This window comes from Homo sapiens, chromosome 19 (genome assembly GCF_000001405.40).
Source record: "Homo sapiens chromosome 19, GRCh38.p14 Primary Assembly".
NCBI lineage: Eukaryota > Metazoa > Chordata > Mammalia > Primates > Hominidae > Homo > Homo sapiens.
The window spans coordinates 45,733,278-45,755,400 of record NC_000019.10 but is presented as its reverse complement, the minus strand read 5'-3'; the positions used below and the strand labels follow the sequence as shown (position 1 = coordinate 45,755,400).

Below are 22,123 nucleotides of genomic sequence, written 5' to 3'. Positions count from 1 at the left end.
AAGGTGGGCGATCACCTGAGATCAGGAGTTCAAGACCAGCCTGGTCAATATGGCAAAACCCTGTTTGTACTAAAAATACAAAAATTAGCTGGGCGTGGTGGTGCGCGCCTGTAATCCCAGCTACTCGTGAGACTGAGGCAGGAGAGTCGCTTGAATCCAGGAGGCAGAGGTTGCAGTGAGCCGAGATTGTACCACTGCACTCCAGCCTGGGCGACAGAGCAAGACTCCATCTCAAAAAAAAAAAAAAAAAGAAAAGGCTGAATGAACAAATAGAGGAACGAGATGACTTGAGGCCTCAAAGCCTCGAGCTCCGACCTCCCTCCCTCTGGCCTAGCTCTCTGCTTGAAAGCATCACCACACGTTTTCCAAACCAGTGCAGTGACTGGGGCATGGGAGAGCCAAGTGAGGCCTGAGGCGGAGGCCCTGCCCTCCTCCCTGGTTCTGTGATGGGAAGCCCACACAAGACAATGACGCTGATCTCATCCCCCCATTACAGCCACGACACAGCCTGAGATGAAGACCACCAGAGCAAGGCCACAAGCTTGAGAAGTAAGAGGCGGTGTTTCCTATTCACTGCTGCAGCCCCCACTACGGGTACTGTGTCTGGGACACAGCAGGTGCCCCCAGAGTGGCATCTTACTGAAAGACTAAGTTCAGAGTGAGGAAAGAGACCCACTTGAGATGTCACAGTGGATGGTGTCCTCGGCCAGATCCAACAGCGTCAGCTGGGACTGTCCTCCTTTTCTGTCACCTGGAGGTGAGGATGATGCAGGCCTCGGGTGACCGCAGGAGTCAGGGCACCTTGGAGGGGTAGTGGTCCCCCCTGTGCCACTTCCTTTCTGGTCTGGGGATGGGGCCACCAGCTTCTCAGGCTTGTTCAGGGCCAGAGAGCGGCGAGGCTTCGGGGTCCGAGTCTGGCTTTCTGGGGGAGCAGAGGTTCAGGTGTCAGAGGGGCCTGGGAGTCACCTGCCTGTCACCAGAATAGGGTTCAGGTGGGAAACATCCTTGTCAGTGTCAAAGCTATGCCTGGCCTGGTATGGGAATGCCCAGATCCTCAATCACAGGCCTCTTTGTTCAACCCCTGTCCACCTGTCAGAATCATCTTGCGACCTTTAAAAAACACTGGCCAGGCGCAGTGGCTCATGCTTGTAATCCCAGCGCTTTGGGAGGCCGAGGCAGGCAGATTACTTGAGGTCAGGAGTTCAAGACCAGCCTGGCCAACATGGCGAAACCCTGTCTCTACTAAAAATACAAAAATTAGCTGAGCATGGTGGCACATGCCTGTAATCCCAGCTACTCATGAGGCTGAGGCAGGAGAATCGTTTCAACCTGGGAGGCAGAGGTGGCAGTGAGCTGTGTCACTGTACTCCAGCCTGGTGGACAGAGTGAGAGTCTCTCTCAAAAAAAAAATACTGATGCCCAGGTTCTGCCATAGACCAGTGAACCCCAAGTTTCCGGGTGTGAGGCCTCAGTGCTAATACAAGGAGGAGCTGGGAGTTGAACCCCGGCACAGGGTGCTGAGAAGGCCCCCAGAGTAAGGACATCCCTGGAGAAGGAGCCCTGCTCCTGGGTGACCTGGGCTTCTAGTTCTGCCTCCAGTGACAGCTTGTACCTGATGCCTGGGTCAGCTTCTTCTTCCGAGGCTTCTGGCACGCCCCCTGGAGACAGGACTTCTGAGAGCTTGGGGAGCTGGAGGGGGTAGAGTGTCTCCTCCGCCTGGCTGGGCCCCAGGCTGGTTTCTGACCCAGCCCTGCAGGGATGGAGAGGGAAACAGCTCAGATCCCCCACCCCATCTGCATCCAACTGCAGTTCCTGCCTTCCAGACAATGCTCCTCAGTCCCGGGTCAGGGTGGGCCCCCAGGCTGACTTTACAGTGTGGAAACTGAGGGCTTATCCAAGGCCGCTCAGTCAGGACTGTGAAAGTAGAGGGCAAGAACTCAGGTTTCTTCAGGGCTGTTTTGGGCCTTGGCTCAGTGGGAGAATGGAATCAACACTTCCCCAGACTGGGCACCTTGAGGATGCTTCACCCTCTCCCCGCCCACACCAGTACCTCCTCCCGCCTTCCTCAACACAGTGAGGGTCTCCTAGCCGACCCCCTCAAGGTCACTGGGGCCTTTCCCTCTGGCCTCTCGATTCTTCCTCATTAACATCTTCTAGGTTTACTCACTTCTATCCACATTCTCATCTACAGCGCTAGCTTGGGCCTAATTGTCCCGTCTAGATCACTCCGAACAGTGTCTTTCCTCATCTCCCTGACTCCAGTCTCTCACTTCATGACCAGTCCTCAACACTACATGTCAGGGACAAAAATTAGCTGGGTGTGGTGGCGGGTGCCTGTAATCCCAGTTACTTGGGAGGCTGAGGCAGGAGAATCGCTTGAACCCAGGGGGTGGAGCTTGCAGTGATCCGAAATTTCGCCACTTCACTCCAGCCTGGGCGAAAAGAGCGAGACTCCGCCTCAGAAAAAAAAAAAAAAAAAAAGAAGAAGAAACTATCTGAGTAAGAGCTTGCAGGCATGAGAAGACACGCGCGGGGTGTCTGGGGACAGGCAAGTCATTGGGTGTGATTGGAGGTCTGCGTGGCATGGAGATGATGTGTGTGGGCTCTGAGCCAGGCCCTGACTCAGGCTCATCTCTGTGACCTTAACCTCTCTGGGCTTCAGTTCCATCACCTGCAAAACAGGACCACATTAGCTTTTCCCTTCGGTATTTGTCCTGACGATTAAATGTGAGTTAATACATAGAAACAAGTCAGGCTTGGTGGCCCACTCCTATAATCCCAGCACTTTGGGAGGCCAAGGCGGGAGAATTGCTTAAGCCCAGGGGTTTAAGACCAGCTTGGGCAACACAGTGAGACTCTGTCTCTACAAAAAAACAAACAAAAATATTAGCCAGAGCCAGGCACGATGGCTCACATCTGTCATCCCAGCACTTTAGGAGGCTGAGATGGGTGGATCACTTGAGGTGATACCAGCTTGGCGACCACGGCAAAATCCTGTCTCTACTAAAAATATAAAAATTAGCTGGGTGTGGTGGCGGGCGCCTGTAGTCCCAGCTACTTGGGAGGCTGAGGCAGGAGAATGGCTTGAACCTGGGAGGCAGAGCTTGCAGTGAGCTGAGATCACGCCACTGCACTCTAGTCTGGGCGACAGAGAGAAACTCCATCTCAAAAAAAAGAAAATTATCTGGATATTGGTGGCACGTGCCTGTAGTACAAGCTGCTTAGAAGTCTGCGGCAGGAGGATTGCTTGACCCCTGGAGTTTTGAGTCCTGGGATTTTGAGGTTACAGTGAGCCATGATCATGCCACTGCATTCCAGCCTGGGTGACAGAGTGAGACCTTGTCTCAAAAAAAAAAAAAAAAAAAAACGGCTAGGAGCAGGGGCTCACAGCTGTAATCCCAGCACTTTGGGAGGCCAAGGTGGGTGGATCACCTGAGGTCAGGAGTTTGAGACCAGCCTGGCCAATATGGTGAAACACCGTCTCTACTAAAAATACAAAAAAATTAGCTGGGTGTGGTGGTGAGTGCCTGTAATCCTACCTACTCGGGAGGCTGAGGCAGGAGAATCACTTGAACTTGGAAGGCAGAGGTTGCGGTGAGCCAAGATCACGCCACTGCACTCCAGCCTGCGCAACAAGAGCTAAACTCTGCCTCAAAAAAAAAAAAAGAAAGAAAGAAACATACCACAGCACCTGGAACATAGCAGTCCCCTAAGGCTAGATGTGCTGGGTGCTGTCGCTGTTACTGTAGTGTAAAATATACTGGCAGAGGCCCGGGAGGCAGAGGTCGCAGTGAGCAGAGATCACGCCACTGCACTCCAGCCTGGGTGACAGAGTGATACTCCGTCTCAAAAAACACACAAAAAACAAAAAACAAAACAAAACAAAAAGCACAAATAAATAAATAAAATACGCTGGCAGAATGGTAGGAGATGAGGCTGGGGAGGTTTGGCAGGGACTAGGAAGGCAGGGATGAGATCCCAAATGGTTTCCAGCACCTGGCTATGGAGGGAAGTGAAGAAGATGAAAATTACTGAGGGATTTTATGCCAGGGGAAGGTCATGATCAGATTTATTTTATTTTATGTATATATTATTATTATTATTATTATTATTATTATTATTATTATTTGAGACACAGTCTTGCTCTGTTGCCCAGGCTAGGGTGCAGTGGCGTGATCTCGGCTCACAGCAACCTCCGCCTCCCAGGTTCAAGTGATTCTCCTGCCTCAACCTCCCAAGTAGCTGGGATTACAGGCGCCAGCCACCACACCAGCTAATTTTTGTATTTTTAGTAGAGACGGGGTTTTGCCATGTTGGCCAGGCTGGTCTCGAACTCCTGACCTCAAGCGATCCGCCCGCCTCGGCCTCCCAAAGTGCCGGGAGTACAGGCATCAGCCACTGTGCCCGGCCTGTTTCTTCTGCCTGGCTGGGCTTCCCTGCATCTCCTACAGTCCTGAAGGCCCAGCTCCAAGGCCCCTCTTCTCTGAGGCATCTTGCATATCTCTCTTTGTCCCCTATACCAGGCCTTGACAGAAGGGTCACTCAGTATCCCTGATGGCTGGAACAACACTTGGAACATCACAGGCACCAGGAAACACTGGCTGAACTACTTACCCGCAAGTCCACCTTCCCCAGTGGTGATGTGGCATTTGAACAAGGCCTTGGCGGCATCGATGTTTCTCTGGAGGTACTGAATGTACTGCAGGACATGCACCAGAATCTCCTTCTGCCTCAAAAGAAAGACAGGGTTGGCCAGGCTCACGCCTGTAATCACAGCACTTTGAGAAGCCGAGGTGGGCGGATCATGAGGTCAGGAGTTCGAGACCAGCCTGGCCAGCATGGTGAAACCCCGTCTCTACTAAAAATACAAAAAATTAGCTGGGTGTGGTGGCACATGCCTGTAATGCCAGCTACTTGAGAGGCTGAGGCAGGAGAATTGCTTGAACCCGTGAGGCGGAGGTTGCAGTGAGCCAAGATCACGCCGTTGCACTCCAGCCTGGGCAACATAGCGAGACTCTGTCTCAAAAAAAAAAAAAAAAAGAAAAAGAAAAAGAAAGAAAGAAAGACAGGGTTGAGCACAACAGCCAGGGCTCAAGACAATGTGGGGCTGCTGGGGACCAGAGACACAGCCTGAAGCAAAGGTTGCAGTGAGCTGAGATCATGCCACTGCACTCCAGCCTGTAGCTGTAGCCCCTGTCTCACTGGTCTGCAGTGAGGGCTAGATAGCAGAACAAGAAGGTCTCTGCCGACTGAAGAATTGTTGGGGTGGGTGGGGAATGGGGTCCTTCCTGGAGCCTCTGTGTCTCTGGTCCCCAGCAGCCCCACGTTGTCTTGAGCCCTGGCTGTTGTGCTCAACCCTGTCTTTCTTTCTTTTTCTTTTTCTTTTTTTTTTTTTTTGAGACAGAGTCTTGCTATGTTGCCCAGGCTGGAGTGCAATGGCACGATCTCAGCTCACTGCAACTTCTGCCTGCCAGGTTCAAGCAATTCTCCTGCCTCAGCCTCCTGAGTAGCTGGGACTAGAGGTGCGTGCCACCAGGCCCAGCTAATGTTTTGTATTTTTAGTAGAGACGGGGTTTCACCATGCTGGCTAGGCTGGTCACGAACTCCTGACCTTGTGATCTGCCCGCCTTGGTCTCCCAAAGTTCTGGGATTCCAGGTGTGAGCCACCACGCCCGGCCAATAGTCTTTTTTTGTTTTTTTTTTTTGCGCTTTTTTTTTTTTTTTTTTTTGAGACAGAATCTTGTTCTGTCGCCCAGGATGGAGTGCAGTGGCGCAATCTTGGCTCACTGCAAGCTCCGCCTCCCGGGTTCATGCCATTCTCCTGCCTCAGCGAGTAGCTGGGACTACAGGCGCCCTCCACCACGCCTCGCTAATTTTTTTGTATTTTTTAGTAGAGACGGGGTTTCACCATGTTAGCCAGAATGGTCTCAATCTCCTGACTTCATGATCCGCCCACCTCAGCCTCCCAAAATGCTGGGATTACAGGCGTGAGCCACTGCGCTCGGCCTTTTTTTTTTTTTTTTTTTTGAGACAGGGTCTCTTGCTCTGTTGGCCAGGCTGGAGTTTAGTGGTACCATCTCAGCTCACTTCAACCTCCACCTCCTAGGCTCGAGCAATCCTCCTGTCTCAGCCCCACAAGTAGCTGGGACTACAGGCGCATGCCACCATGCCCAGCTAATTTTTTGTATTTTTTATCGAGATGAGGTTTCGCCATGTTGTTCAGGCTGGTCTCAAACTCCTGGGCTCAAGTGATCCACCCGCCTTGGCCTCCCAAAGTGCTGGGATTACAGGCATGAGCCACCACACCTGGCCTCAGTCTTTTTTTTTTTTTTGAGAGGGAGTCTCGGTCTGTTGCCCAGTCTGAAGTGCAGTGGTACGATCTCAGCTCACTGCAGCCTCTGACTCCCAGGTTCAAGCGATTCTCCCACCTCAACCTCCTGAGTAGCAGGGGCTACAGGAATGTGCCACCACGCTTGGCTAATTTTTGTATTTTTAGTAGAGACAAGGTTTCACCATGTTGGCCAGGTTGGTCTCGAACTACCGACCTCAAGTGATCCACCCACCTCGGCCTCCCAAAGTGCTGGGATTACATGTGTGAGCCACTGCACCCAGCCAGCCTCAGTCTTTTTAAGCTTATTATCTCTAATACCAGGCTTGGAGCATATGGTTGGCACTCGCTAAGAAAAAGTCCTTATAAACCATGAAGTAATATATAAATGTTACTTATTATTACTAGTATAAAGGTTGTATGTAGAAAGCAATTGGGCATCATCCCAGATTTCAAGACAGATGCCTCAGTAATTGAAACTTCAGGAAGGTTAGCTTGGGGGCTACACCAGAGTCTGGACTCTCAAAGACCTTCTGAAGGTAAGATCAACAGGTCCTGTAACTGTCCCAACAAAGGGAGCTCATTCAGTCATTCAACAAACATCTATTGAACCTTGAGTGACAGAATGGTTGAAGGCAAGAGCCTTTGGAGTGAGATACATCTGACTCTATTTCTTTTAAGATGGGGTCTCATGGCCAGGCGCGGTGGCTCACGCCTGTAATCCCAGCACTTTCAGAGCCCGAGGCGGGTGGATCACGAAGTCAGGAGATCGAGGTCATCCTGGCTAACACGGTGAAACCCTGTCTTTACTAAAAATACAAAAACTAATTGGCCGGGCGTGGTGGCGGGCACCTGTAGTCCCAGCCACTCAGGAGGCTGAGGCAGGAGAATGGCGTGAACCCAGGAGGCAGAGCTTGCAGTGAGCCGAGATGGTGCCACTGCACTCCAGCCTGGGGTACAGAGCGGGACTCCGTCTCAAAAAAAAAAAAAAGACAGGGTCTTACTCTGTTGCTCAGGCTGGAGTGCAGTGGTATGATCTCGACTCATTGCAACCTCCACTTCCCAGGCTCAAGCTATCCTCCTGCTTCAGCCTCCTGGGTAGCGGGGACCATGGCTGGCTAATTTTTGTATTTTTTGTAGAGATGGACTTTCGTCACATTGCCCAGGCTGGTCTCGAACTCCTAATCTCAAGCAATCTGCCTGCTTCAGCCTCCCAAAGTGCTGGTATTACAGGTGTGAGCCACTGTGCCTGGCCACATCTGAATCCCTCCCTCTCTCTTTCTCTCTGTCTCTCTTTCTATCTCAACTCTGTGCCTGTGGGCGATGTGACCATTCTCTGCACTTCAGTTTCCTCAGACCAAAGAATGAGCATAGCCATACATCTCTCACAAGCCTTGTGGGAGAGTTAAATGAGAAAAATGTATCTAAGACACTTAGCACTCAAGGTCTGACACCTGGAACGCTCAGTAAGTTGGGAACGGTTGTTACTGCTGTCTGCTGTCTGCTCTCTGCTCTTGCTAGGCCCTGTGGGCAAGGCGGACAGAGATGTCTCCTTTATGGCTCTGGCAGAACTCCACCTGAAGGAGGTCGGAAACAAGGAAGTAATTGCAGTGATACGCTGGGGGTGTTCATGGTCAGAGGGAGAACCTACATGATCAGACGGGGCAGGGGGCAATTCACCAGCCAGAGTGGTGAGGAAGGACACTCTGAATCAAAGCTGCACCCCAAGTCTCTAACACAGGAGAGGCAATTCTCACAGCTCCTGCTATGGCGCGGAGCACTGGACTGAGCATGTCCCACGGCCCCGGGATGCGGGTTGTCTGTGGAGCAGGACCCCATGATGCAGCTGAGGGAAGGATGAAGAGGTGGGAGAAGAGGGGTTCTGAAGACAGCAGAGGACACATGGTAAATAAGTAGGCTGAGGCCTGGGGAGAATTCCAAGAGATGTGGCCATCCGGTCATTTATGAAACGTTGCCAGTCCCCTGACAAGACTGCCATTCCTCGAGGGGAGGGACTGTGTCATAGTCATCTCTGGCTCCCCAAGGGCTATTCCAGCACCTATGCATGCCAAAAACTCACATTCCTCAAATATTTTTAGCACCATCGTGGACTGTATAATGCATCCCCCCAAAGTTCCAAAGATGTCCATGTCCTAGTCCCCAGAACCTATGAATATGTTGCCTTGTATGGCAGAAAGAAAGGACTTTGCAGATATGATTGAGTTAAGGATCTTTTTTTTTTTTTTTCTTTTGAGACAGAGTCTTGCTCTGTTGCCTAGGCTGGGGTGCAATGGCGCGATCTCGGATCACTGCAACCTCTGCCTCCCAGGTTCAAGCAAATCTCCCGCCTCAGCCTCCTGAGTAGCTGGGATTATAGGCACGCGCCACCACTCCTGGCTAATTGGTTGTATTTTTAGTAGAGACGGGGTTTCACCATGTTGGCCAGGCTGGTCTCAAACTCCTGACCTCAGGTGATCCACCCACCTCGGCCTCCCAAACTACTGAGCCCGCTGTGTTAAGGATCTTGAGATGGCCTGATTATTCCTGTTTATCTGGGTGGGCCCAGTGTAATCACATATAATCTTACAGAGGTAGGAATGTCAAAGGCAGGGAAGGCAATGTGACAACAGAAGCGGTAGGACAGGAAAGACATTTGAAGATGCTTCCATGCTGGCTTTGAGGGACCATGATGGGTCAAGGAATGCAGGCAGCCCCCAGAAGTTGGCAAAAAGAAAGGAAACAAACTCTCTAGAGCTTCTAAGAGGAACCAACCCTGCTGACAACTTGACTTTAAACCAGTGAGACTGGCTGGGTGCAGTGGCTTATGCCTGTAATCCCCGAACTTTGGGAGGCCAAGGTGGGAGGATCACTTGAGGTCAGGAGTTTGAGACTAGCCTGGGCAACATGGTAAAACCTCGTCTCTACCAAAACTACAAAAAATTAGCCAGGTGTGGCATGAGCCTGTAGTCTCAGCTACTCGGGAGGCTGAGGTGGGAGGATTGCTTGAGCCTGGGAAGCAGAGGCTGCAGTGAGCTGAGGTCGAGCCACTACACTGTAGCCTGGGTGAGACAGTGAGATCCTGTCTCAAAAACAAAACAAAACAAAACAAAACCTAAAAACCCCAAAACAACCAAACAAGTGAAAAAGCCACTGAGACTGATATTGGACTTCTGAACTCCAGAACCATAAGAGAATAAATTTGGCTGGCCACAGTGGCTAACGCCTGTAATCCCAGCACTTTCGGAGGCCAAGGCGGATGGATCGCCTGAGGTCAGGAATTTGAGACCGGCCTGACCAATATGGTGAAACCCTGTCTCTACTAAAAATACAAAAAAACTATTAGCCGGGTGTGGTGGCCTGTGCCTGTAGTCCCAGCTACTCAGGACTCTCAAAAACAAAAAAGAACAAAGAAAAAAAGAAAGTCTGGGTAGCCTGAGAAACTGCCCAGAGTTCTGTAGCTGTGAAGCTAGAGGGCTCAAACCCATGGCTATTTGATTCCTGGAACAATGATCTTTGTGCTATCTCTATTTCCCCAGCCCGGTTTCTCCTCTCTCCTTTGCAAAAAAGGATCCTCCAGGCACCTAGTTATGGGATCACAGACTCCCGGAAATTCCCGTTCAGAGTAGCACCATTCCCATTTGAATGCTGCCACTGAAAGGATCTGTCCAGGTTTCCCAGGAGAGGGTGACCCATTTGCTGCTATTTAAAGACCTGCGTCCCAAATCTGGCCCCTCTCCTCTAGTCCCTGTACCTTTGTGAGCTTCTTGGTCCCCGTCTTCAGGGCTATGGGCAGCAGCAGTGCCAACTCTTGCAGCTTGCTAGTGTGGTTTTTCCTCTGCTTCTTGTTTGGGGACAGGAGCTTGTTTTGGTTCCTCTGATTCCTGTTTGGGGACAGGAGCTGGTTTTGGTTAGGACATCCAAAACGAATTCCACATCCAACCCGCAAACCTCCTGTCTGTGTTACTCATTTTAGGGCTGCCCGCACCCCACCCTGGACACCGAGGACAGAATCCCAGGCATCACCCGTACTTGTTACTTTCCCTTAGCCCTTAATCAGTCAGTCACCAAATCTTACCCACTCCTCTTCCATGACCTTCTCTTCAACCCCACAGCCCTGCCCTAGTCCATGTGTTAACATCCTGATAGTTCACTCAACCCTGCCATTTGGCCTCTTCCATCCCTACTGTCTGCTAGAGTCAGGGTGACCTTTCTGAAACACAAATCTGACCACGTCACTCTCTTGCTTCAAACCTCTCCATGACATCCCATTGTTAAGGATCAAGTTTAAGGTCCTAATGTGGGGTGGGTGCAGTGGCTGATGCCTGTCATCCCAGCACTTTGGGAGGCTGAGGCAGGAGAATCCCTTGAACCCGGGAGGTGGAAGTTGCAGTGAGCCAAGATTGCATCACTGCACTCCAGCCTGGGAGACAAAGTAAGACTCCGTCTCAAAATAAATAAATAAATAAATAATAAAAATACAAAAATTAGCCAGGCGTGGTGGTAGGCGCCTGTAATCCCAGCTACTGGGGAGGCTGAGGCAGGAGAAAAACAAAACAAAACAAAACAAAACAAACTCCGTCTCAAAAACAAAACAAAACAAAACAAAAAAAAGATGCTGAGAGCAGAGCATCAAACCAAGCATTGGACCATCCTAAGCACAGGGCCCTATGTGACTGCCCAGGTCATATGTCTATGAAGCTAGCCGTGATAAAGAAAAAAGTGTTGCTTGGTGTTATGGAAACTTGTAAAAGGAGGCCGGGCATGGTGGCTCACACCTGTCATCCCAGCACTTTGGGAGGCTGAGGTGGGCTGATCACTTGAGGTCAGGAGTTCAAGACCAGCCTGGCCAACATGGCAAAAACCCATCTCTACTAAAAATACAAAAATTAGCTGGACATGATGCCTATAATCCCAGCTACTCAGGAGGCTGAGGCACGAGAATTGCTTGAACCTGAGAGGCGGAAGCTGCAGTGAGCTGAGATTGTGGGTGACAGAGCCAGACTGTCTCAAAAAAAAAAAAAAAGTAAAAATAAGAAGCTTGTAAAAGGAAATTGATCTAAATGCTAAGTGGCAAGTGTGGTGTCACCAATACATGAAGAGGCCATGCTTTGCTTTTGACTGAGTGTGGTGGCTCACATCTGTAATCCCAGCACTTTGGGAGGTCAGGGTGGGAGGATCACTTGAGCCCAGGAGTTCAAGACCAGCCTGAGCAAAAAAGTGAGACCTCGCCTTTATGAAAAAATAAAAAGTTGGCTGGGCATGGTGGCTCACACCTGTAATCCCAGCACTTTGGGAAGCTGAAGTGGGCAGATGACTTGGGCCCAGGAGTTCAAGGCCAGCCTGGCCAACATGGCGAAACCCTGTTCCTACTAAAAATACAAAAATCAGCCAGGTGTGGTGGCACGTGCCTGTAATCCCAGCTACTCGGGAGGCTGAGGCAGGAGAATTGCTTGAGCCTAGGAGGCACAGGTTGCAGTGAGCCAAGATCGCACCACTGCACTCCAACCTGGGCAACAGAACAAAACTCTGTCTCAAAAAAAGAAAAAAAATCACTGATGAGTCCCCAAGTTACCTCCTGGTAGAAACGATAACTTTGAGCCAAGGGGGTGTTGGGGTTCTATCCTTCGAGATAAATTGAGTAGGCTGAGCTTAAACTCCTGTCTAGCCCTGATAAATAAATAAATATATATATATCACATTATTTCCCATGTGTTCTAGAGGGGCCCTTGGCAGACCCGACAAGAAACAACTCAGGAAGCAAGGAAGAAAAAGTGTCCAGGTCTACTTATAAAGTTCAAGGTGTTATTTGACCGTCTCAGAGGGTTTCATATAAACCATAGTCCCTGGGTGTTTATTCTGGGTTTTACAAAGCACAGGGTGAACCTTCTGGGTAAACACAGAGGTTAGAAAGGGAGCAACTGAGTGGATGGGAATCCCAATGTCTTGGCATCCCCAGTGTCTGGGCAGTAGTCCTGAAGAAGTACAACCTGGGCTCCGCTCTCAGGGCCCTCCAGAAGCCATGTACCACCTCCCAGAGCTGCCTCTTTTCTTTGCTGGATGGTTCGGGTTTTAGCCAATTTCTTCCCTCACAGTCTGTATATTTGCATCCACTAATCCCAGCTGTGCCCTCTGGGTTTTCAGGGAACAGGTCAGCTCCAGTCACATAGGTTTTCTTTCTGTTTCTCTCAACTGCCAATTTTATTTCTGCCTTCTCTGTTTGGAATGTTCTGTTGCCCTGGTTGTTGTTGTTGTTGTTTTGTTTTGTTTGTTTGTTTTGAGACAGAGTCTTGCTCTGTCACCCAGGCTGGAGTGCAGTGGCGCGATCTCAGCTTCTGCAAACTCCGCCTCCCGGGATTACGCCTCCTCAGCCTCACCCTCACGTTCTCCTGCCTCAGTCTCCCAAGTAGCTGGGACTACAGGTGCCTGACACCACGCCTGGCTAATTTTTTGTATTTTTAGTGGAGACGGGGTTTCATCGTGTTAGCCAGGATGGTCTCAATCTCCTGACCTCATGATCTGTCCGCCTTGGCCTCCCAAAGTGCTAGGATTACAGGCGTGAGCCACCGCGCCTGGCCTGCTTGTTTGTTTTTAAAGAGACAACGAGTTGCTCTGTCACCCAAGCTCATATGTAATAGCACAATCATAGCTCACTGTAACCTCAAACTCCTGGGCTCCAGCAATCCTTCTGCTTCAGTCTCCCGAGTAGCTGGGACTTTAGGCATGCACCACCATGCCAGGCTATTTTTAAAATTTTTTTGTAGAGACAAGGCTGGGTGCAGTGGCTCACACCTGTAATCCCAGCACTTCAGAGGCCAAGGCAGGATGGTCCCTTGAGCCCAGGAGTTTGAGTCCAGCCTGGGCAACATAGTGAGACCCTGCATCTACAAAAAACTTTTAAGCTGGGCGTGGTGGCTCACGCCTGTAATCCCAGCACTTTGGGAGGCCAAGGCAGGTGGATCACCTGAGGTCAGGAGTTCAAGACCAGCCTGATCAACATGGTGAAATCTTGTCTCTACTAAAAATACAAAAATTAGCCAGGTGTGGTGGCAGGTGCCTGTAATCTCAGCTACTTGGGAGGCTGAGGCAGGAGAATCACTTGAACCCAGGAGGTGGAGGTTGCAGTGAGCAACCGAGATCGTGCCATTGCACTCCAGCCTGGGCAACAAGAGCAAAAGCTCCGTCTCAAAAAATAAATAAATAAATAATAAATAAAATAAAATAAACTTTAAAATAAATTTTTTTTTGGAGACGCGGTCTCTCTATATTGTACAGGCTGTGAAATCTTATTTCTTTCATTAATTTATTAATTATAAATATGAACTCCATGAGGGCAAGAATTGGTTGGTTGGTTGGTTGGTTTCTGAGGCAGAGTTTTGCTCTGTTGCCCAGGCTGGAGTGCAGTGGCAGGCTCTTGGCTCACCGCAACCTCCACCTCCTGGGCTAGAGTGATTCTCCTACCTCAGCCTCCCAAGTAGCTGGGATTACAGGCACACGCCACAGGGCAAGAATTTTTGTCTTATTTATTGCTATATCCCAGGCTGATTTATCCATAAAATGCAGAAAGCACAGTGCTTGGAACCCATGATACTTTTAGGGGCTCATGAAAATATTCTAATTCCTTTTAAATTAGAACAAAAAATAAATATCACCCCATCTGTAGTATACTTGTCTTCATATCAATACTATCATAAACCACAATTGTTAATATTTTTCTTTTTTTTTTCCCCCGAGACAGAGTCTCGCTCTTGTCCAGGCTGGAGTACAGTGGTGCGATCTCAGCTCACTGAAATCTCCGCCTCCCAGATTCAAGCGATTCTTCTGCATCAGCAACCCAAGTAGCTGGGATTGCAGGTGCCCGCCACCATGCCTCCCAATTTTTGTATTTTTAGTAGAGACGGGGTTTCACCATGTTGGCCAGACTGGTCTCGAACTCCTGACCTCGTGATCTGCCCGCCTTGGCCTCCTAAAGTGCTGGGATTACAGGCGTGAGCCACCGCACCCAGCGTTAATATTTTTCTATGGAAGAAGGGGATCAAGAAGGTAAAATTGTATAGGGCCCACAGAAGCCATAATGCTGCGCTGGTTATATCCCTTAAGTCCTGGAATAATGCCTAACACTTAGTGGGTGCTCAATAAAGAATTATTGAATTAATGAATACTGAAAGGTCTTGGGATAGCTGCTCAGACTTCTAAAGTGGCATATGAACCTAATTCTCAAGTTTCCTTTTCCCTGAGCTAATCAACCTGAACATACCCTAGTTACTTTATTATCATTGTTATTATTATTATTATTATTATTATTATTATTATTATTATTATTATTGAGATGGAGTCTCGCCTTGTTGCCCAGGCTGGAGTACAGTGGCACGATCTCGGCTCACTGCAACCTCCGTCTCCTGGGTTCAAGCGATTCTCCTGCCTCAGCCTCCTGAGTAGCTGAGATTACAGGCATGTGCCACCACACCTGGCTAATTTTTTGTATTTTTAGTAGAGACGGGGTTTCACCATGTTGGCCAGGATGGTCTCAATCTCCTGACCTCGTGATCTATCCGCCTTGGCCTCCCAAAGTTTTGGGATTACAGGCGTGAGCCTCCGTGCCCGGCCTTCATTTGTTTTAATAGTGTGTAGGGATGTAAGAGTAAGAGCTGCCCCAAAGTGGGACAAAGCAGGGGACAGTCCCAGGAGGTGGCATAAAGGTTGATATATAAGCTCCAGTTTTTGAAGCAGAAAGACTGGGATTCAAATCCTAGTTCCTCCGCTTGCTGTGTGACTTTGGGCAACTGCTTTCACTTCTCTGTGCCTGTTTCTTCCTCCTTTACAAAATGGAGGTGGCTAGGAAAACCTTGATCTTATCTGGAAGGTGTTTCGTATAGTGCCTGGTACATAGGGAGTGTTCATGAAATGTTAGTTCAAGAAAGCGTGTGGGGCTGGGTGCAGTGGCTCACGCCTGTATCCCAGCACCTTGGGAGGCCAAGGCAGGCAGATCACCTGAGGTCAGGAGTTCAAGACCAGCCTGACTAACATGGTGAAACCCTGTTTCTACTAAAAATACAAAAAATTAGCTGGCCGTGGTGGCACGTGCCTGTAATCCCAACTACTCGGGAGGTTGAGGCAGGAGAATCACTTAAACCCTAGAGGCAGAGGTTACAGTGAGCCGAGATTGCGCCACTGCACTCCAGCTTGGGCAACAAGAGCAAAGCTCTGTCTCAAAAAAAAAAAGGAAGAAAGAAAGCATGTGTGTACAGTCATTTGTCAGAATGATTTTAGGGGTAAGAGGTGTTGAACAATGGGCTATGTTTTTGCTTGGCCAACATCCAATCCCCCCTTTTCTGTTAACAGTACCTCAGTTTTCCTTTGAGCAACCATTTCTCCTCCATTCTCAGTCCATGTGGTTCGGAGGGGTTGACCTTATCTTCCCCTTCCACTAGGGAGCACAAAACCAAGGTCCTGCCAAGAATAGTCACAGTGATTGGTTCAGGGTTGGAGTGGTAATCCTAGGTTTGGCCAATCAGAGTCAATCAATCTTAGAAAGATGTTTTCTCTTCTGGGTATATGGAGTTGGCAAGATATAGACCTGGAACTGCTGGGAACCATCTTGCCCTTCCAAAGGGACAACCTGCAGCTGAGCACAATGACTCACGCCTGTAATCCCAGCACTTTGGGAGGTTGAGGCAGGCAGATCATTTGAGGTCAGGAGTTCGAGACCAGCCTGACCAACATGGTGAAACCCCGTTTTCACTAAAACTATGAGAAAATTAGCCAGGCCTGGTAGCACATGTCTGTAATCTCAGCTACTCGGGAGGCTGAGGCAGGAGAATCCCTTGAACCCAGGAGGCGGAGGTTGCGCTGAGCTATCATGCCACTGCACTCCAGTCTGGGTGACAGAGCAAGACTCCATCTCAAACAAACAAACAATAAGATAAAATATATAAATAAAGCAAAGGGAGAACCTGCTTGAGACAGAAGCCAACACAGACAATACCAGAGCCAAGAGACGCAGATTCCCGGCAACATCATTTAACCTCCATCCTGGAACCAGCCAAGGCCGACATCCCTGAATTTTTTGTTTAAATGATCCAATAAATCCCTTTTTATGCTTAAGCCAGTTTTTGCTAGGTTTCTGTTCTTCGCAACTAACAGTCTTTATCAATACAAGGACCCCCACATCTAGAAAGGGGGATGAAAGTATGAATTGTGGCAACTCTAAAATTCCAGGAGGAATGGGCAGCAGGATAGGCATTCTTCATTTTCTTCATGGTGCTTCTTCTGAGCATAGTATCTAGGTAGAGAACCTAAACAAAGCACACAGTCCTCGTCTTACAACAGTCGGACTTAACATTTTTCGACTTTACAATGGTGTGAAAGCCATACAAATTCAGTAGAAGCCATACTTCTCTTACTGTGCTGGGCAGCAACACTGGGCCACAGCTCCCAATCAGCTATGCTTTTTTTTCTTTTTTTAGACTGAGTCTTGCTCTGTTGCTGGAGCGCAGCGGCGCGATCTTGGCTCACTGCAACCTCCGCCTCCCAGGTTCAAGTGATTCTCCTGCTTCAGCCACCTGAGTAGCTTGGGATTACCGGCACACACCACCATGCCTGGCTAAATTTTGTATCTTTAGTAGAGATGGGGTTTTGCCCTGTTGGCCAGGCTGGTCTCAAACTCCTGACTTCAAGTGATCAGCCCACCTTGGCTTCGCCAAGTGTTGGGATTACAGGCCTGAGCCATCAACCATGCATTTTTGACATACAATATTTTCAGTTTATGATGGGTTTATCAGGACATAACCCCGTAGATGCTTAATTTTGGAGTTAATGAAGAGATAGTTGGATGGAAAGTCACTGGGGGAGATGGTAGGGGTTAATATGAACTTTGGCCTTATTTTTTCTTTATCCAGACTTTGGAGGGAGGGAGAAATCTGATCCAACCTCCAATCTGCTGTGAAAATTCCCTCTATAAGATTCATTACACTTGGTAAGTGCTTGATGGATGAATGAATGCGTGAATAAAAGAAAGGAAGTAAAGACATGGTGGCTCACGCCTGTAATCCCAGCACTTTTGGAGGCTGAGGCAGGAAGATCACTTGAGCCTAGGAGTTTCAGACCAGTGTAGGCAGCATGGTGAGACCCTGTCCACAATTTTTTTTTTTTTTTTGAGACAGAGTTTCACTCGTTGCCCAGGCTGGAGTGCAATGGCGCGATCTCGGCTCACTGCAACCTCTGCCTCCTGGGTTCAAGCGATTCTCCTGTCTCAGCCTCCCAAGTAGCTGGGATTATATCATGCCCAGCTAATTTTTGTATTTTTAGTAGAGATGGAGTTTCACCATGTTGGCCAGGCTGGACTCAAACTCCTGACCTCAAGTGATCAACCCACCTTGGCCTCCCAAAGTGCTGAGATTATAGGTGTGAGCCACCACACCTGGCCAATTTTTTTTTTTTTTAATTAGTTGGGCATAGTGGCGTGTGCCTGTGGTCCTGCATACTTGGGAGGCTGATGTGGGAGGACTGCTTCAGTCTGGGAGGTCAAAGCTGCAGTAAACTGTGATCGTGTCACTGCACTCCAGCCTGGGGAACAGAGCAAGACCCTGTCTAAAAAGAAAGAGCCAGGCGTGGTGGCTCATGCCTGTAACCCCAGCACTTTGGGAGGCTGGGTGGATCACTGGATCCCAGGAGTTTGAGACCAGCCTCGGCAACATGGCAAAAACCCATTTCTACGAAAAATACAAAAATTAGCCAGGCGTGGTGGTGCACGCCTATGGTCCCAGCTACTCAGGGGGCTGAGATGGGAAGATTGTTTGAGCCCAGAAGGTCGAGGCTGCAGTCAGCTGGGATTGCACCACTGCATTCCACATTCCAGCCTAGGTGACAGAGCAAGACCTTGTTTCAAAAAAAAAAAAAAAGGAAAGAAGCCAGGCTTGCTGACTCACACCTGTAATCCTAGCACTTTGGGAGGCCGAGGCGGGTGAATCACCTGAGATCAGGAGTTCGAGACCAGCCTGAACAACATGGTGAAACCCTATGTCTACTAAAAATACAAAAATTTGCTGGGCGTGGTGGCATGCGCCTGTAGTCTCAGCTACTCGGGAGGCTGAGGCAGGAGAATCGCTTGAACCCGGGAGGCGGAGGTTGCAGAGAGCCGAGTTCATGCCATTGCAGTCCAGCCTGGGCAGCAAGAGTGAAACTCCATCTCAAAAAAAAAAAAAAAGGCTGGGCGCAGTGGCTCACGCCTGTAATCCCAGCACTTTGGGAGGCTGAGGTGGGCGGATCACGAGGTCAGGAGATCGAGACCATCCTGGCTAACATGGTGAAACCCCATCTCTACTAAAAAAAATATAAAAAATTAGCCAGGCATGGTGGTGGGCGCCTGTAGTCCCAGCTACTCAGGAGGCTGAGGCAGGAGAATAGCGTGAATCCGGGAGGTTGAGCTTGCAGTGAGCCCAGATGACGCCACTGCACTCCAGCGGGCGGATCGCGAGGTCAGGAGTCCAAGACCAGCCTGGCCAACACAGTGAGACCCTGTCTCTACTAAAAATACACACAAAAAAATTAGCTGAGCATAGTGGTGGGCACCTGTAATCCCAGCTACTTGGGAGGCTGAGGCAGGAGAATCGCTTGAGCCTGGGAGGCAGAGGTTGCAGTGAACCAAGATCGCGCCACTGCACTCTACAGCCTGGGCATCAGAGTTAGACTCTGTCTTAAAAAAAAAGGAAAGAAAGAAAGACACTCAGAATGTCAGTTGGGCGTGGTGGCTTAGTAATTCCAGCACTTTGGGAAGATAAGACAGGAGGATCACTTGAGGCCAGAAGTTCAAGACAGGCCTGTGCAACATAGCAAGACCCTGTCACTACAACAAATAGAAAAACTGGCTGGGTGTGGTGGCATGTGCCTGTAATCTTAGCTGTTCGGAAGGCTGAAGCAGGAGGATCAAGCCCAGGCTCAAACCCAGGAGTCCGAGGCTATAGTGAGCTATGATGCCACCACTGCACTCTAACGTGGGCAACAGAGTGATACCCTAACTCTGAAAACAAACAAACTCAGAATGTCACAGGCTGCAAGGACCTTAGAAGTTATCTTTGCCCTAAAAATAAAAAAAGAAATGGGCTGGGCATGGTGGCTTACACCTGTAATCCCAGCACTTTGGGAGGCTGAGACAGGCAGATCACTTGAAGCCAGGAGTTGAAGACTAGCCTGGGGAAAATGGCAAAACCCTATCTTTACAAAAAATACAAAAATTAGCCAGGCATGGAGGCATGAGCCTGTAGTCCCAGCTACTGGGGAGGCTGAGGCAGGAGAATCACTTGAGTTCAGGAGGCGGAGGTTGCAGTGAGCTGGGATCGCAACACTGCACTCCAGCCTGGGCAACAGGAGTGAAACCCTGTCTCAAAAATAAATAAATAAATAAATAAGCAATGATCTTTGCCGATCACCTCAGAGTACTCTCATCTGGAAAATGGTAGGCATCTTTGTACACAACTTCCTCATGAGATTGTTGTATGGATTAACAGTTATCATACAAACAAAATGTTTGGCAAAGAGTCTAGCAAACGGTAAATGCTCAGCAAATGTTTTTGTTATTATTATTCAATGAGAGTGGCTGGGGCTATAAGGGAGATGGGGCAAGCCCTTACCTGTCACTGGGACCCAGTGAATTAGCTCTGGGCTGTTCAGAGGAACCCAAGTATCTGCTGGAACCAAACATCTGCAAAGAGGGAAAAAGAATGATTAGTGACCTCTGGGATTGCAGGAAGGATGGGCAGGAACCCTGATGGGCACCCTTCATCTTCCCTATGATGCTCCTTTGAGCACCCAGAGATCCCAAAATAAGAGTCCCTAGCCCCAACAAATTATGGGCCCAAAGACCCAAATTAAACAGCTAAACCTTGGCCAGAAGTGGTAGCTCACACCTGTAATCCCAGCATTCTGGGAGGCCGAGGCAGGCAAATCACTCGAGGTCAGGAGTTTGAGACCAGCCTGGCCAACATGGTGAAACCCCATCTCTACTAAAAATACAAAAATTAGCCGGGCGTGGTGGTGCACGACTGTAATCCCAGCTACTTGGGAGGCTGAGGCAGGAGAATCACTTGAACCTGGGAGGCGGAGGTTGCACTGAGCCAGGATTAAGCCACTGCACTCCAGCCTGGACAACAGAGTGAGACTGTGTCTCAAAAAACAAAAACAAAAACAAACCCCTAAACCTCTAAAAAGGCACTAAAACTAATACTTTAGAGTCCCAAAATGAGGACCTAAATCCTCACTTTGGAGCCCTCCCAAAGCCAGGTACAGTGGCTCACGCCTGTAATCCTAGCACTTTGGGAGGCCAAGGCAGGAGGATTGCTTGATCTCAGGAGTTTGAGACCAGCCTGGCAATATGACAAAACTCCACCTCTACAAAAAAAAAAAAAAAATTACCTGGGCATAGTGGCACATGCTTGTAGTCCCAGCTACTTGGGAGCCTGAGGTGGGGGGATGGTTTGAGCCCAGGAGGTCAAGGCTGCAGTGAGCTAAAATCGCACTACTGCACTCCAGCCTGGATGACAAAGTGAGACCTTGTCTCAAAAACAAAAAAAAAGGAGCCCTCCCAAACCTACAAACCCTAAATTCTAATACTGAGATACCCCAGACCCTCAAACTGTCAACTTCTGATCTTCAAATATGATCCTAATACTAAGATTACAGACTGCAAGCTGTAACACTATGAACCTATATCCTAAGATAAGAAATCCAGGCCCCTATGAAACAAATCTCACTTCTCCAGATTGACCTCTTAGACGTCCAAACTGTCCCTCAAATTGTGGCCCCAACCCTAAAACTGAGATCTCGAATGTGGGTCCTACTCTGAAACCCCAGACCCTAAAACTGGAGCTCCCATACTCAATGTGGGCACTCCAGGCCCTAAAACGTGCTTCTAAAGACTCAAACTGCGACTCCAGATCCTAAAGCTTCATACTCTACATTGGGATTTAGGCCCTAAATCTATACTGAGGCTTCAGTTGCCCCAAATCAGGCTCCAGACTCTCAAAATGTTACATCATAACTCAGAACTAAGACTTCCAGATCCCCAAATTGGGATCTCTGGATTCCAAGGAGAAAGCTTCCAGTCACAAAACTCAAGCTCTTCAGATTCCAGAACTAGTCACCCCTAGACACAAATCCCGAGATCCCAGATCAGAACTCGAGAGCCCGGATTCCCAACACAAACAGAGTCTTCCGTTCCTCAAACTCGAACCTGGACCCCCGGCTTCAAACCCAAACTCCGTCGCCCGTGGCCCTGCACCCAGAGCATGTTCTATTCCCCTGAGCCCCCCACCGAGGGAAGCTCCTGTGGGGATCCCGGGTTCCCCTAAGCCCAGCTAGTGCTGGGGGAGGCCCCCTGCCCCGCGCCCCATTCCCCTTGGCCTCCAGCACCCGCCTCAGGGCGTGCAAAATGGCGTGAGGCTGCCCCCGCCGTTCTGGTTTCTCCGGGCCCCACTCTAGGGAGCCCGATCAGACAGCGTCTCGCGCGGGTCCCGGGAAGCCGGCCGTGCGCGCGGGGATCCCAGACGGTCTCGGACACCACGTTCCCAACCGGGCTTGGGGTTGGGTGCGAATCCTCCCGGCGCGAGGATCCTGCGCGAGGCGTGAGGAGCAGAGCAAGAGTGCGTTCCTGAGGCCAGGCCACGCCCCTACCAGTTCCAGCCAAGATGTGCTGGGCACGAGACGACGGGGTTGAAAGGGCAGGGTGCAAGTGGCCGTGCGCACGCGCGCCTCGGGAAGGGCCCTGTCGTCTTGCACAGCGTGAGCTCGGCCTCGAGCCTTCTG

The 22,123-nt window shown here is 49.7% G+C and overlaps 1 protein-coding gene across 4 annotated transcripts in view, besides 1 other annotated feature; it reads right to left on the bottom strand.

Annotated features, from left to right (window-relative positions):
• Nucleotides 1-21,962, bottom strand: part of MEIOSIN (meiosis initiator) — a 31,103-nt gene extending 9,141 nt beyond the window's left edge. The window contains exons 1-7 of one of the 4 annotated variants that reach the window (NM_001310124.2): nucleotides 21,735-21,962; nucleotides 19,954-20,024; nucleotides 15,671-15,775; nucleotides 10,080-10,209; nucleotides 4,615-4,726; nucleotides 1,613-1,750; nucleotides 677-922 (exon numbers count right to left, since the gene is read on the bottom strand). In NM_001310124.2, coding sequence (NP_001297053.1) covers nucleotides 677-922; nucleotides 1,613-1,750; nucleotides 4,615-4,726; nucleotides 10,080-10,209; nucleotides 15,671-15,775; nucleotides 19,954-20,024 — 802 coding nt within the window. In that variant the 5' untranslated portion in view covers nucleotides 21,735-21,962. Of the gene's footprint in view, nucleotides 1-676; nucleotides 923-1,612; nucleotides 1,751-4,614; nucleotides 4,727-10,079; nucleotides 10,210-15,670; nucleotides 15,776-16,310; nucleotides 16,582-19,953; nucleotides 20,025-20,734; nucleotides 20,763-21,734 lie in introns of those variants that run through there. The other 3 variants (XM_011527571.3, XM_011527574.3, XM_011527573.4) reach the window with 3 other exon arrangements.
• Nucleotides 7,032-7,824: an enhancer, noted in NCBI's record as "H3K27ac-H3K4me1 hESC enhancer chr19:46250835-46251627 (GRCh37/hg19 assembly coordinates)". NCBI's record gives its function as "activates a minimal SCP1, AML or CMV promoter by ChIP-STARR-seq in primed H9 embryonic stem cells {active_cell/tissue: H9 hESC(primed)}" and the evidence as "EXISTENCE:reporter gene assay evidence [ECO:0000049][PMID:30033119]".
• Nucleotides 21,963-22,123: the final 161 nt, after the last annotated feature.